Source organism: Homo sapiens, chromosome 9 (assembly GCF_000001405.40).
Source record: "Homo sapiens chromosome 9, GRCh38.p14 Primary Assembly".
Lineage (NCBI taxonomy): Eukaryota > Metazoa > Chordata > Mammalia > Primates > Hominidae > Homo > Homo sapiens.
The window spans coordinates 86633690-86648946 of record NC_000009.12 but is presented as its reverse complement, the minus strand read 5'-3'; the positions used below and the strand labels follow the sequence as shown (position 1 = coordinate 86648946).

Sequence of the window (15257 nt, the reverse complement as noted above, 5' to 3'; positions counted from 1 at the left end):
GGATGCTGCATGTTAGGTTTCTGGGCTCCCAGTGGAACCTGCCCAAATTAGCCCAGAGCATGATGGCAGTGAGGGCAGGTGGCCCCGGGTTGAGAGCACGGCTTTGGAGACACACATACCTGAGTTTTTGTTGTTTCTTGTCCACCTATTGGTATGCAATCTTGACCAAATTACCTATCTTTCCTAAACCTGTTTTTCATCCACAAAGTGAAGTATCTACTTCCTGAGCTGGTTCTTTCATTTGTTTAATGCATTTTAATAGCACACCTAGAATGGGTCAGTGACTGTTGTAGAGACTAGAGAAATCCCAGTAAACAACACAGAAGAAAGGAAGGAAGGGAGGGAGGGAGGGAGGGAGGGAGGGAGGAAGGAAGGAAAGAAGGAAGGAAGGAAGGAAGGAAGGAAGGAAGGAAGGAAGGAAGGAAGGAAGGGAGGGAGGAAGGAAATCTTGAGGGTATTCAGATAACAAATGAAATAAATAAAATACATAGTATATTCAATAGCGATTAATACTTTTCAAAGGGAAATAAAAAGCAGAAAAGGAGGCTAAGATGTGCTGAGGAACGAAGAGAGGATTTGATTTTAAAAAGCGTAAGTCCTCATTGAAAAGGTAACAGTTTGAGCTTAAGTTATTATGAATGGCGTGAGAAAGCCATGCAGCTAGTTGCAAGTTTTAATGAGAAAAGGAGAGGATTAAATGAGATAATATTGGTAATAGGCTTAGTATAATATAATGCTTGGGACACAGAAAATGTTCAATAAATGTTAATAAGAGAGACACTGAAAGAAAAAATAATTATAGACCAGTAGAATAAATTCTACCCATAATACTGTAAATGCAGGTGGCTTCAGATGTCATAAAACTACTTAGTACTTGCAGAACCCTGCCCGACTGCCCTATCATCTAAGGTTATGTCTTGAAACCTGGTCCACAATTCACCTGCATCAGCATCACCTGGATCTTGTTAGGAATGCACATTCTCAGGCCTGCTGAATCAGTCTCTGTAGGTGGAGCCCAGGAGCACGCATGCTCACTAGCTCTTTAGGGAATTCTAATGATGGCTAGATTTTGAGAACCATCAGCCTGGAAGGAACAGGCCCACTTATCATGTGACCTTGAGAATGACACTCCTGACAATGTCCACACATATCTCAATCCTTACACTATGGTAAGTACAGTCATGTGTCACCTAACGGCAGGGACACATTCTGAGAAACACAACTGTAGGTGATTTCTTCATTGTGTAAACATCGTAGAGCGTACTTATACACATCTAGAAAGTATAGCCTCCTACACAGCTAGGCTATATGGTATGGCCTATGCTCCTAGGTTACAAACTTGGGCAGCATGGTACTACACTGAATACTGTAGGCAACCGAAACACAATGGCAGCTATTTGTGTACCTAAACATATCTAAACATAGAATAGGTACAGTACAAATACAGTATAAAATATTTCATTTTAGGGCTGAGTGCAGGGGCTCATGCCTGTAATCCCAGCACTTTGGGAGGTCAAGGCCGGCAGATCACTCAAGAGTTTGAGACCAACCTGGGCAACATATCAGGACTCTGTCTTGTAAAAATGAAAAAAAAAATATTAAAAAAAATTACTTTTTTAACAATACACCTTTATAGGGCACTTGCCATGAATGGACCTTGCAGGACTGGAAGTTGCTCTGGGTGAGTTCATGAGTGAGTGCTGGGTGAACGTGAAGGCCTAGGGCATGACTGTGCATTATTGCAGATGTTATAAACACTGGACACTTAGGTTACCCTAAATTTATGTTTAAAATTTCTTTCTTCAATAATAAATTAACCCTAGTTTATTGTAACTGTTTTACTTTTTAAAGTTTTCTTTTTCTTTTTCTGTTTTTTTTTTCTTTTTTTTTTTTTTTTGAGATGAAGTCTTGTTCTGTCGCCCAGGCTGGAGTGCAGTGGTGCAATCTCAGCTCACTACAACCTCCACCTCCCAGGTTCAAGCAATTCTCTACCTCAGCCTCCCAAGTAGCTGGGATTACAGGTGCCCGCCACCACGCCCAGCTAATTTTTGTATTTTTAGTAGAGACTTGGTTTCACCATCTTGGCCAGGCTGGCCTTGAACTCCTGACCTCATGATCCACCTGCCTCGGCCTCCCAAAGTGCTGGGATTACAAGCGTGAGCCACCGCACCTGGCCTAAAGTTTTCTTTTTTAAGCTTTTTGACTCTTTTATGATAACATTTAGCTTGAAACCCAAACACATTTTACAGCTTTACAAAAACATTTTTCTTTATATCATTTTTCTATAAGCTTTTTCTATTTTTTAAGCTTTTACTTTTTACTTTGTAAACTTTTTTGCTAAAACCTAAGACTAAAAACACACCTAGGCCTACACAGGGTCAGGATCATCAATATCACTGTCTTCCACCTCCACATCTTCTCCCACTGGAAGGTCTTCAGGGACAGAAGCACACGTGGAGCCATCTGGTCCTAGAATAACAATCCCTTCTGCTATTATACCTTCTGAAGGACCTGCCTGAGGCTCTTTTACAGTTAACTTTTTTTTTCAGTAGATGTACACTCCAAAATAATAATAAAAAGTATAGTATTGTAAATACACAAATGAATAACAGTCATTTATTATCATTATCAAGTAGTATGCACTGCACATATGTATGTATGTGTCCGACTGTTATACAGCCAGCATCGCAGTAGGTTTGTTTCTGCCAGGATCACCATAAACACGTGAGCAATGCCTTGTGCTATGACATTACCACAGTTATCATGTCTCTAAGTGATAGGATTTTTTCAGCTCCATCTAATCTTATGGGACCACTGTCATATACTAGCCCTGTCTTGACCGAGACATTGTTATCTGGCCAATGACTATGATTTTTCTATTTGTCATAAGGGACACTGAGCCTCAAAGAATTCAGGTGGGCCTGGAACTCAAACCCAAGTCAGTAAGCCTCTCAACCTCCCATTCTTTCCACTGTCCTCCTGGCTTTGCTTGCCAGGAACACAAACAGGCAGCAAGGAGGGGGAGTCCCTTACCCTGGGGCTCCTTGAACCCAAGACCTACAGCTCTCCGCAGCATCCCCATGGAGACACAGATGCTCAGTTTCCTCTACTCAGAGATTATGGAATATACAATTGAAAAAAAAAAAAGAAAGAAAGAGTGGCTTGCTCACCTCAAGTTCAATTTTTTTGCTTATGATAATTTGTGTTAAAAACCAAAGGAACTGTCACAAAACAAATCAGGCCTTCGTCTGAGCCTTCACAGATCTGTCAATCCCTGCCAGGGCCTGGCATCCGCGCTCTTGTAACATCCGATGCTGGACCATGCGCTTCCCAAAACCTCCTACGCCAGAGCCAGGGCCCTCCGCGGTCCTGAAGGCCTATTCAGTTTGTGCAGTGGAGGGGAGGGGACACAGTTCCCGGGGTTAAGAGCTGGCAGTGGGGCGCGCAGAAGCCCAGCTACCACCGCCAGGGACAGTCATTCAGAGCTCCATGTGGGTCTCTTTTGTGCCGGTGGGTGAGGCTTCCCACCATCGGTTCCGGTGACTTGGAATGCCAAGGGCCTAAACTTAATTAACTTCTCCGGGCCGGGACTTTTCCATCTCAGCCCGCATCCTGCTTCGTGGGGCGGCGGGATGCAAGGGCTCCCTGCACAAACATAAGGCCAGGGACCTTAGTGGGAGCATCGGCAAATACAACAGGGCCAGTGGCATCCTCATTAAACTCTGATTAGCAAGTGGACTTGATCCAGGCCAAATCAGAGCTGAATGAGATTTCTTTCTTCTTCTTCTTCTTCTTTTTTTTTTTTTTTTGCTGCCAGTTGATCAGATGTAGGCAATTAAGAACCCCCACACCTCCAGCTCTTGTATTTTTTTGAAGCGGGGAGCTCATACCAGTCAAGCCATAAAGACACTATTGTCCTAAGAACAATATTCCCCACTAATCTCACTTCTGGCAATTTACTTTTTCTTCCCAAGCAGATTTAGAAACTTAAAAAAAAAATCTTTGAAAGAGTACGGGGGAGGAATACTCCATGGTATCTAATCCTATCGCAAAGTAGGAGTTTTCTTGTTCCATTCAGCTTTTCTTTGAATGAGCACTGGATAAATAAACTACTGCATGGTCACATGGAGGCAGAGACCGTGAGGATCCAATTATGCATATGGAGGCGTGTGCATTCTGGTTTGCAAATCAAACACAAAGAGTGCAGCACAAGCTCCCTTAAATCAGTCCTCACTACAAATTTACAAACCTTCAAGGTGAGATTTGCTTTTGTTAAGTGCTTAAGGGCAATTATTACCTTTCTTTAATTTTCTGCTGGTAATTAGACTCCCAATCCAGTCCAACCTGGTCTGTACCTGGAAGGCAGCAGTACTTTTTGGTGTGATAGTCCTCAAAGCCAGCCAGCCAGCCTTGGGAGGATTCCTGAGAACTCAGAGAACTTTTTCAGCCTGAGGGCCAACAAGTCTGACAGGCATACACTGAGAAGCTGTGTCGTGTTTTGCCTTTAAAGAGAGATGAAAGACAAAGGGAGATGGAGAGAAGAGTAAAGAAAGGGTAAAAGGAAAGACAGAAACTCTTGAGTGGAGAAGAAATAAGGCAAGAAAGACAATGAGGATTACCTAACACTAAGAGTTTTTTTTGTTTTTTGTTTTTTGTTTTTAAAGGGAGCCGGCTCACGTTGCTACTGTATTAACACTTTTATACTCACTTACAGGACTCATGTTAATGAGTCCAGTGCCTCTGGGCCCCCATGCCTCAATGCATCTGGGCTATTGCATTGAATGAGGAAGCTAAGAGTCTCTCTGAAAAGAAAAACTAAAGGGGAAAGAAAGCAAGGGAACCGAAAAGCCCTGAAAAATAGCTAACCAAAAAGCTACACCTTTCACCATGCCCCAGAGGTCAACCAACTTGGCAGGCAAGACAGACCCGGGAAAGAATTGCCAACAGCTCCAGCCTCCTCAGACCCGACACGGAGGCCAAGCCAGGAATTCTGCTGCTCATCTCGCGTCTGTGACCGTGATGGCAAGATCCATCTCCCACCAGCCAGCATGGCATCCTCTGGGTCTTTTCCAAGGAGAAGCTATTTTTCAACTGGTGAGCTATTGAGAATTAGGATGGCATGCCTACCTGGGGCCGGGGGTGGGGTTAATGATAGTGAGCTGGTGAAAGAACTAGATTGGGAATCTGGGGTGCAGGACTTCATTAAGAAGTATCTGTGTTACTATGGAGAAAACCAGAGGAGAAATGGAGTAAGGTGGGCAACCTCACTAGTGCCCAGGGTCATCAAAGACCAGCGGAGACATTCCAAGCCCAGTAAGACACAAGAAATGGAAGTTTTCGTCTGTAAATTTAGTCTTTTCTCATGAGATAAATCTTTCTTCCCCAAGATGAAGGTAAAGAACGTATCCTTCTATGACGTAAGGTTTTAAATCATGTAGATCCCCCTTCAGATCCTGGCCCCGCCACTCACCAGCTAACAGTGCTGATAAAAGTCTTTAATCTGTATGAGCCTTAGTTTTTCTCATCTATAAAATAAAGAGAGTCCCGCCTTGAGAGGATTATATAAAATAATGTATGCAAATCACCTAACATGTGCATGTGACTGACACTCAAATCATCTGTATGGGAAATTTTGTCTAATAAATTATTAATATCCAGTGATTGTGTTTAAGAGACTGGGTTAAAAAGAGAAGCCAGTACTATTTCCCAAGAAGAATAGCAATGTCATTGACAAAATAATAGATAGATTTAAATATAGAGAGGTATGTATGAAAGCATTGCTGTAATTCACAAATGTGATATGCATTAACTGAGTGACCATAACATGTCTTCTACCCAGTCTCCACTGAACAGCAACTATTTGATAGGAGCTGTACATATGAACAAGCACCACATCCAGAGGACTTTCCATTTGGGGGTGACTTAGCAACATAGCGACCCTATAAGGCAGAATGTGGTAAGAGGCAAAGGGGCTGAACAATGAAACGCAGGAGCGCGTTGAGGAAGGAGAGATTAGTTCCAGATAGGAGGATTAGGAGAGGCTTTAGGTTGGAGCTGGCATTAAACCAAGGACTTGAAGCTAGGTAGAAATAAGAAGAAAGGGCATTCTGAGAGGAGGGAACAGTGTGAATGCAGGAAATGCAAGGTATGCCTGAGAAATGGTGAGAGGTACCGCCTGCCAGGAGTGAGGCTATATAGATGGGTTAGATCCTCCAAGGGCTCATTTGCCAGGAGAGTGGGACCTTTATCTTGTCAGCGGTGGACAGAACACAGTTGTGCTTGACTAATATCCCTCCAGAAGCACATGTGTGGATCAGAGGTGGGAAGACACCAAAAGCCAGGGACCAGCAGAGGCCTTTGCAGCAAAAGGAAAAATAACAGCCTGAAGCTGGTTTATGGGGATGCTTATGGGGGTGTGGATTCGTACTTATCAGGGCACTGTCATCGAGAGGACTGGCATTCTATTGAATGTGCGGGGTGAGGTAGAGGGAAGAGGTGTAGAGAACATTGAGAATCTGAACACTGGCAACTGCAACAGGCCAGAAATGTTATTCTGTAAACACTGAGATCAGAAGACAATTGGAAAGGTCAATGTATTCAATTTGGGACATCCTAAGTGTGAGGTTTTTGTTTAAGTATGGCATCTCAGCCAGTCACTTGTCAGATGCTACTGCTATATGCATTACTCAGAGCAGCAATTAAGCCCGGGGGCCTACCTTGAAAATTAGGATGTTTGCGGTCAAGTCAGAAAAACAGAAACGCATACAGGTCTCTTACACCAAAGGAACTTAATGCCACAAACTAACACAAAGATGATGTAAGAGCTGAGAAGCCCAACAAGAGATGCTGAGGCAACCTAAAGCTCAGAAGAGCATAAAGCTGATGCCTCCCCTAAGGCTAGAGGGACAATGAGTGGTGAAGGGCTCACCAGAGCCCAAAAGCTTAAGCCACCTAGCAGGAGTTAGCAGGAGTTAGGGCTAGACCCACAGAGCAAGAGGAGAAGGAGGTATTGCAAAACCTCTGTGCACAACAAAAAAGAGCTTCTCTCATTTTTCTCTCATGCACAAGGAGTGGGGCTTGTAGGCATGAAAAGTTTCTTGCAGAGGGAGGAAAGGTGCCTTGGAGAAGAGATGGAAGGAGAGCAAGTACTAGAGGATGACCCAGAGAGCTGGCAGCAGCATCCCAGGGCCTGGGATGAGAGCCTGGGACAGAGGGGAGAGTGAGTGCCTATAAGTTCTTAACCTCCCTACCCCAGAGGGCCATGGTAAGTCAGGGAAAGAAGAGGTGCCCACAGCTCCCCCTTCCTCTGTGTATCTCCTGAAATCAGTGCCCAACGGCATCCACAGTGTCAAAGCTGGATGGGTGGCTTCTGACCCCACATCCACACATGGTCCCATCCTCCCATGCACTCTCCACATTCCTGGGGCCACGGCACAGTAGAGTGACTTTGTCCTCATTTCGCCATTGTGCTTTTTGTCACTAAGGGAATCTGCCCCATTTATGTCCCTGCTACCCCATTCAAGGAGAACACCTGTGAGCTACGGTGCATCAGTGGTTTTGAAACGTTTGTGTATGACCTTTCTCTGATGCTTCTCTTTTTGTCTGTGTGGTTTGAAAAGTCCAGTGATTCTCTGGACTCTTATTAAAGCTTTTTCAGAGATATCCATTGAAGTGGGTTGGGGAGTTCCTGGAAAAATGATGATATTAAAAGGTCATATCCAGAGGGGACCACAAAGATCATCCAATCCAGTGTTTCCCAGATGTTCCCATGACCATCACCTGGGGCTTTTAATAGAATCTTAGATTCCCAGGCCTTACCCCAGGTCTACTGAATTGGATCCTCCAGATGATTCCTAAGATCATGCAAGTTGAGGGGACATTTATTTAATGCAAGTTGTTCATCTCAACAAGGAGGCCCAGAGAGTGAGGTGATCCAACACCTTCATCTCAACAGTGAGGCCAAAAGAGGTGAGGGGCTTCCCCCAAGAATTCACAGATTCTGTCTGGGAGAAATGGGATGAGAATCCAGGTGCCCACAGTCTGAGCCTAGTTTATCTTATAAAATATCCCAGGAGAGGAAAGTGCTATAGATGGTTAAATGCAAGGTTGATCGACCAAGACTTTTGGAGTTTTTTTTTTTTTCCCATCAGGCTTGATTTTCACTATATATTTATTCATTAAAAAAGAATAAAATAGCAATTTTTCAAATCTGTTTCTGTGTATACCTCAGAAAGCAGGCTGACCTGGATATATGTATATATATATGAACATACCCAGGCCCTACAGCTATCAAGTGGCAAGAAACTATTGGGTGAATGAATGAATGCCAGTATCCCAGGAACTGACTGGACTGCTGGTTTTCTGATCCAGAAAGTCATGGCCACATATATTTTCTGCTCAGAAGCAAGCCTTTCACCCTGGAGATTCTGAGTCTACAATGGCAGGAGTGCTGATTTGCTGTGCTTTCCAAACCAGCCCTGTGAAGGGAAGGATTTTTGTGTGGCTATTCTTCTTAAAAAACCTGTGAATGGTTCTTTTACCAGCATTTCCCGAGTATGGAAGTGTGGGCAAAGAGATTCTCAGAGTTAATTAACCACCCGCACCTCCCTCCTTCTTGTTTGCCCAGCTCATTCAAACACATAAATGCCACTACAAACAACCAGTAAATCTACAGAGGCTTGTTCTGGCTGTCAAACACAGCCATAAAAATAATATGCCCTCCAGCATGGGAGGGAAGGCAAGAAGGGAAGGCACTCACTAATTTTCAACAATCCCTCCTTAGAGACATAATCTTCAAATAAATATTTAACTTGCTCTGTCTTTGGTCTTAGATTATTTACAAATCAGGCTTTCAAGGCATTTAAAATGATCCTTCCTTGAGCTATTTGCACACCTACAGTTGCCCGGAGGTAGGAATGAGCCTTCCCGAGGCCGGAGGCTGGCCTCCTGCATTACCATACATGGCCTGCATGCCAGTTAGGAGCAGGCAGGCTCCAGGGCAGCTGGCAGCCTGTGCACTCTGTCAGGTTCATCGCCCTCCACCATGGTTAATACAGGGGATGGGCAGACCTGCCCACCTGCAGAACCTTGCCATCCAGTGCTCTTAGAGAGAAGTAGGACGCAGAATTTCAATCCTGCAGTCATTCAGAACACCAGGATTAAGAGAAGTAACTCCTGGGACTGAGGAGTTGGAAAAGAAACAGGGCAGGGAACTTGCTGTGAGAAAAAAGTTGAGATGAGGGTTCATGGGCAACTAGAAATGTGTTTGAGTTTGGCAGTGGAGGTAGAGATAAAAGATAATATGAATATATGGTAATACGAAGGGTCATACGAAGGCCTTCCAATCTTCTGATGACATCTTCCAAGAGTAACTGAAACTCTCAAGAGGTTAATAGGTTGTCCAAGGAAGGAAGGGATTTGAAGCCAAAAAAGTGTGAACCCCTATGTGTGAACCCACATGTATTCCTCCTTTTGGAGACATGGGAGCAGAGGTTGGGAAACCTTTTCTCTAAAAGGCCAAAAAGTACATATTTTCTGCTTTGTGTGCTATTTGGTCACTGAGGTAGCTACTCACCTCTGCCACTGCAGCAAGAATGCAGCCATGGAGAATATGTCAACAAATGAGCATGGCTGTGTTCCAATAAAACTTTACTTGCAAAAGCAGATGGCAGGTCAGATTTGGCCTATGAGCCACACTTTGCTGTTCCCTTCACTAGAATGTTAAAAGCTCCGAGAAGTCCTGCATTAAAGAAATCTTTTTTTTTAATTGTCTTGTTTATTTATTTTACAGAGAGTGTCACTATGTTGCCTAGGCTGGACTCTAACTCCTGGGCTCAAGCAATCCTCCTGCCTCAGCCTCTCAGGTAGCCTGGACTACAGGCATGTGCCACCATACTCATCAAGAAATCTTTAACTTCATCTAATCCATTTTTTTCCTCAATAATTTGGCCATAAAACCCTTCTTTATCCCCACATATTTATCGATATCATGTACTAAGCTAGTGTTCCACAGAACAATTTGGGAAACGGTATCCTGGGGAATGGACTGGGAAAGAAGAAAAGCTATAGGCAAAAGGTGTAATGCCTTGGTAAGCTGAATATCTAATGCTAGAGCTAAATCTTTGGTCAATTGAGAAAAAAATCATCCTCCACTTCTGAATGGGCAGAAAATAAGCAGCAGTAGGAAGAAAGTGATAATCAGCGACCAAAGCAAATTTCAGTGATAGAATCACAAATCTATAGCAGGCCTAAGGAGGCACATGGCACCAGCTGGGACACACAGGACAGGCACACAATCAACCAGGTTACAGGCTCACAGCCAACATGATTCTGACTGTCGCTCAAGCTCCTGGTGGTTCTCAAGGCTGCCCAGACTACAATGGAAAGCATATTAATCAGACAGGCTATTGCTTCAACCAACAATTTCAAACACAACAGACCTTATAAAGTTCCAAGAGGGGTTCCTGGTCAGTGGGAAGCTCTCATCCACACAGCAATTCAGGGACCCAGGCACTTTCTTTTTGTGGCCCTGCCATTCCCTAGGGTCTCAGAGTCCTCTGCTGCAACCTCTAACATCTGACCAGCCGTCAAGGAAGAGAGAGAGGGCCTGGAGGATGGGGCTGACAGCCTTTAGGGCCCAGACAGCTCTGTGAATACCTTCAGGGTCTGCACAAATTGCATTACAGCAGGGGGCCCAAGGCAAGAGCTTTTGCTTCCCTGAGAACTTCAAGCATAAATATATAGGCTCTATAGGTTTGCACACTGAGTCTAACTTGATCTTCATTTTAATTTCCATTTGCCATGAGTTCCTTTTATTCAGTTTATTCTCTTTTAGTGTCTCAATTAAGCTATTCTGTATCTTTTTTTTTTTTTGGCATGGGGAGAAATAATTAAATAAAATGTAACGTTAAGTTAAATTTCAAGGGGGAAAAAGAAAAGAAATGCCCATTGCTGTGGAGATCATTGGGAAGAAAGCAGAGTAGAGCTTCCTGAAAGCTTCGTGACCCTTTTTCTTTTTGGGACAGGGGTCAAGCGTGAGTGGCTGTCTCCAGGTTAGACTCCCAGTGTACCCACTCCACAGGACGTGCAGCATCAACGCTGCATCAGTCCAGAGGCTGACCCAGAGAGAGGAATCCAGAGCTCCGCCCCTTCTTTCAATCATCTCGCTGCAGGCACTGACCTCCTTCACAAATAGCTGTGCCCTCTTTGCATGAGTCTGGGGGGATTCTGAACCACAGCCAAGGGGAGATGGAGGCCATCTTAAGGTGGGCCAGATCCCACCCCCACGGGCAAGAGCGCCACCTTGTGGTCCCTGATGTCCAGCCGCTCACGTTTGACCCAAGCTGGAGCCGACAAGCACAGGCTGAACAAGCCCAGCCGGCAAACACTAAATTCTAACTAGGAAAAAATGGTGGGGAGGGAGGAGGAGAAATGAATTTAAGTTAGAAAAAATTCTTGAATACCAGCTGATATCTTTCCGAGGAGTCTTACAGACACATTGGAGGGCACAAACTTATGTGTTTCTTTCGATATTTCTAACCTACTGCTAATATTTTTTTCATCAGGGAAACATTTCGTCTTGTAAAAGCTGGATGTCATGAACTGTGGTTTTAGAAAACAAACTAGAGACAATTGGAAGGCCACACATACTTAAAACTGCACGCCCTCTCACCGCAAACGAAGTCATATATTACTGCACCCCCCTCCTCCCCCACATAGGGTCCTTTCAGAATGTCAATCATAACATTGAATTTGCCTCCCGTAAGTTCTCCATTATTGCCGCATTTCACATAAAATGATGACTAGGAAATGATAAGAATAATTCATACATATACATATTTATATGTATGCACATACATATATGCATACATATTACATATGTATGTGATATAAGTACATACTACAAATACGTTCCCAAATTACAAATATATTCTCATTTAATCTTCACAGCAACCCTGTGAGTCAGGCATGGCAGAAATTCCTCCCGTTTTGCAGATGAGGAGGCCAAAGTCAGCGGGGTGAATAGGTCGTGTTGAGCCAGGGAGCCTCAGAGCAGGACCTGGACACAGATCAGCCGAATCTCCTCCCCTGCCTGCTGCCTCCGATAACAAGAGTGGAGAGTAACAGCCTGCTAGGTGTCAGCAGCATTCACTTCGTATATTATGCTTATCCCCACTTAGGTCCACAGCCACACTTCCAGTGTAAGTTATTCTTATCTCCTAGTCACTGCTTTCAGGGAATGGGAAGAAAGAAACCAGAACACAGAGATGGCTGAGCTGTAAGCTTCCCAGCAGCCAAGGGCAGGAGGCCGGTCCATGGGTTCAAAGCTGTGTGAGACACACCAGAGCAGACATGGATCAAGTTGCCTTCCCTGTAGTTCTCTATCTGTCCCTAATATCCCCTCCTGACATCAGATCTAACCACCCACAACTGTGATGTCAGGGACCTGACACTTTAAGTACAAATCAAACACATACACATTTCAAAAACTGTAAGAGAACTGAGGCAATGATCTGCTTACTTAGATAAAACATTTTTGACTTCCAGAATATATGGATCACTTCAGAGGATGCAGTGTTTTACCCCGAATCCATTAAAATGCCAGACCCTCATTCCTTTCCTTCTGCACATTTGACACGAGGAGAGTCCTGGTGGGCGAACGAGGAAAGTGCTGGGTGAATGCACCGCGCACTGTACACAGGCATTTCCAGCCATAGCAGGTGCCTGGTGACCTATTCTCACATCAGTTTATGCCAGGGAAACCTGATTCTCATGCCTCTGTCACATTCCACCAAGTGACTTAGTGTCTCCTGGTAGAAAGCTCCACTCCTAAATCTCACAAAGTGAAAAAGATCAGTGTTCTCTACAGAATTCTAGAGGTGTCTGTGAACTCAAAGGCATCTGATAGATAAACCCAAGATCTATGACTTTCTCTAAAATTATGGCTGCTCCTACCTTTCTTCTAGAAGCATTACTCTTTTCTTAGGAAATGGTAGTAGACTGCCATAACAAAATACCACTAGCTGGGTGGCTTACACAACTAAAATTTATTTTCTCACAGTTCTAGAGGCTGGAAGTCCAAGATCAAGCTGCCAGCAGGGTTGGTATCAGTAGAGAGCTCTCTCCCTGGCTTGCAGATAACCATCTTCTCACTGTGACTTTATATGGCCTTTCCACTGTGCTCCTGGAAGAAAGAGAAAAATCTCTCTCTGCCTCTGCTTATAAAGCCACTAATCCCATCAAGAGGTCCCCACCCTCGTGAGCTCATCTAACCCTAATTACCTCCCAAAGGGTTCACCTCCAGATACCATCACATTGGGGGTTGGGACTTCAACATATGAATTGGTGGGGTTGGGGGAGACATAAATATTTAGTCTGTAACAGAAATTATCATGTTTACAATGTCGAGAAAAGACAAGTATTTTTTAAAATGTTCCATGACTCTTGCTCCACATGCATGATCAAAGCAAATTTATGTAAAGTGTATTCCTTGAAGGAAAGGAAAAAAGGAATGTACAAAAAAAAAAACCACAGAGAAATTAGGACTGGAAATTAGGATTTCTCTCTGGGGCCTCCCAGAGAATTTTACAGACTACCATGCCTTATATATTCCCATGCTAGATCTCCTCCAAGTATTTCTCAAGTGCAATAGCCAACATTGAGAGCCAACATCATCCTCCTTGTGGAACTGGGTACCCTTTGAATGGTCAATTACTGAGAAACAAGATCATCACCCAGACCAAAAAGACAATGAAATAAGGCTGGAAATACAGAATGTTGGTTTATACGTTGAGTCAGTGACTGCATGGAAGCCACAAGACAGGCTGTGATCTCCCTCCCATGTTCTTGATGTCCTTGTCACACCCTGTTATGGGCTGAACTGTGTTCTCCCAAGATTTATACATTGAAGTCCTAACCTGAATCTCTCAGAATGTGACTGTATTTGGAGAAAGGGCCCTTAAAGATGTGATCAAGTTAAAATGAGGCTGTTAGAGTGGGCCCTAATCCAATATGACTGATGTCCTTACCAGAGATGCTAGAACAGAGATGAAAGGCCATGTGAGGACAGTGTAGAGGCAGTGCAAGCCAGGGAGAGATGCCTCAGGAGAAACCACACCTGCTGACACTGTGATCTTGGATTTCCAGCCTCCAGAATAACCACACCTGCACACACCTTGCTGTTGGACTTCCAGCCTCTCACTGCCTCCAGTGAGAGGCAGTGCAAGCCAGGGAGAGAGGCCTCGGGAGAAACCACACCTGCTGACACCTTGATCTTGGACTTCCAGCCTCCAGAACAATGAGAAAATAAATTTCTGTTGTGTAAGCCTCACAGCCCATGGTATGTTGTTATGGCAGCCCTGGCAGATTAATACACACCTTATTAAGCCTTAGAGCAGGAGAAGGGAATGATTTCACCTTGAAATGAGAAGGTTTGGGGTTTAAGTCAGGCTTTGCCACTAAGTCAAAAAAGTTAGGATTACCAGGAGTCACTTTGTCATTGTGAGGCTCTTTCTAGCATTCTGCATGGGTCTACTGACTTTTTATTACGGAACAGATACAGCCCCAGCCCTGTACAGCATGGCCTGCCATGGCCACGAGGCCTTCATGCAGCAGCATCACAAGCTACAAGTACATTGCCTGGGACTTGAGATATGATAGGGGGAAAGAAAATCTGCATTCTCAAGTGGCAGGAATTAATGAGCTGAGAAGCAGTGATGTGGGTTGTGTCACTCTCCCTAATTGGGTCTAGTTGAGGGCAGGGATAATTTTTGCCTAGAAACCTTTGTGATTCTGAATGCTCAGGTATTCACTCCACCCCACACCCCTTCTTCTCACACACACCTCTCTCCCTGGAGTTGCTCTGGCTTGGAATTCCGCCAAACTCCCACCCGACTCCCAATTAAATATATCATGCAAGGTCTGGCCTGATGGAGAAAGCCCTCACTTGCTAAGGGGCTTAAATCACTTGACATGTGCATGCCAATTTTCTCCTCCATATCACGTTTACTGATTAGCCTTTTCTTTGTCCCTTTTTAAGAAAATGACTGTGACTCATTATTTTTAAAGAAGCCTCGATGGGGTTTGGCTAAGATACAAAACAATATTTCTACCAAAGGCAAAGAACATGGATTCTTCCAAGGGATAAAAGGAGGAGCCACCTAAAGCCACCTAAGTCAAGGTGAACTAATACTACTCCATGTGCCCAGTATCCCTCCATGTGTCCCCACTCCTGGCCAGGCAACTGCCAGCGTGCACAT

General features: G+C 44.2%; 1 annotated feature.

The window, feature by feature from the left end:
• Nucleotides 8988-9488: an enhancer, noted in NCBI's record as "H3K4me1 hESC enhancer chr9:89254374-89254874 (GRCh37/hg19 assembly coordinates)". NCBI's record gives its function as "activates a minimal SCP1, AML or CMV promoter by ChIP-STARR-seq in primed H9 embryonic stem cells {active_cell/tissue: H9 hESC(primed)}" and the evidence as "EXISTENCE:reporter gene assay evidence [ECO:0000049][PMID:30033119]".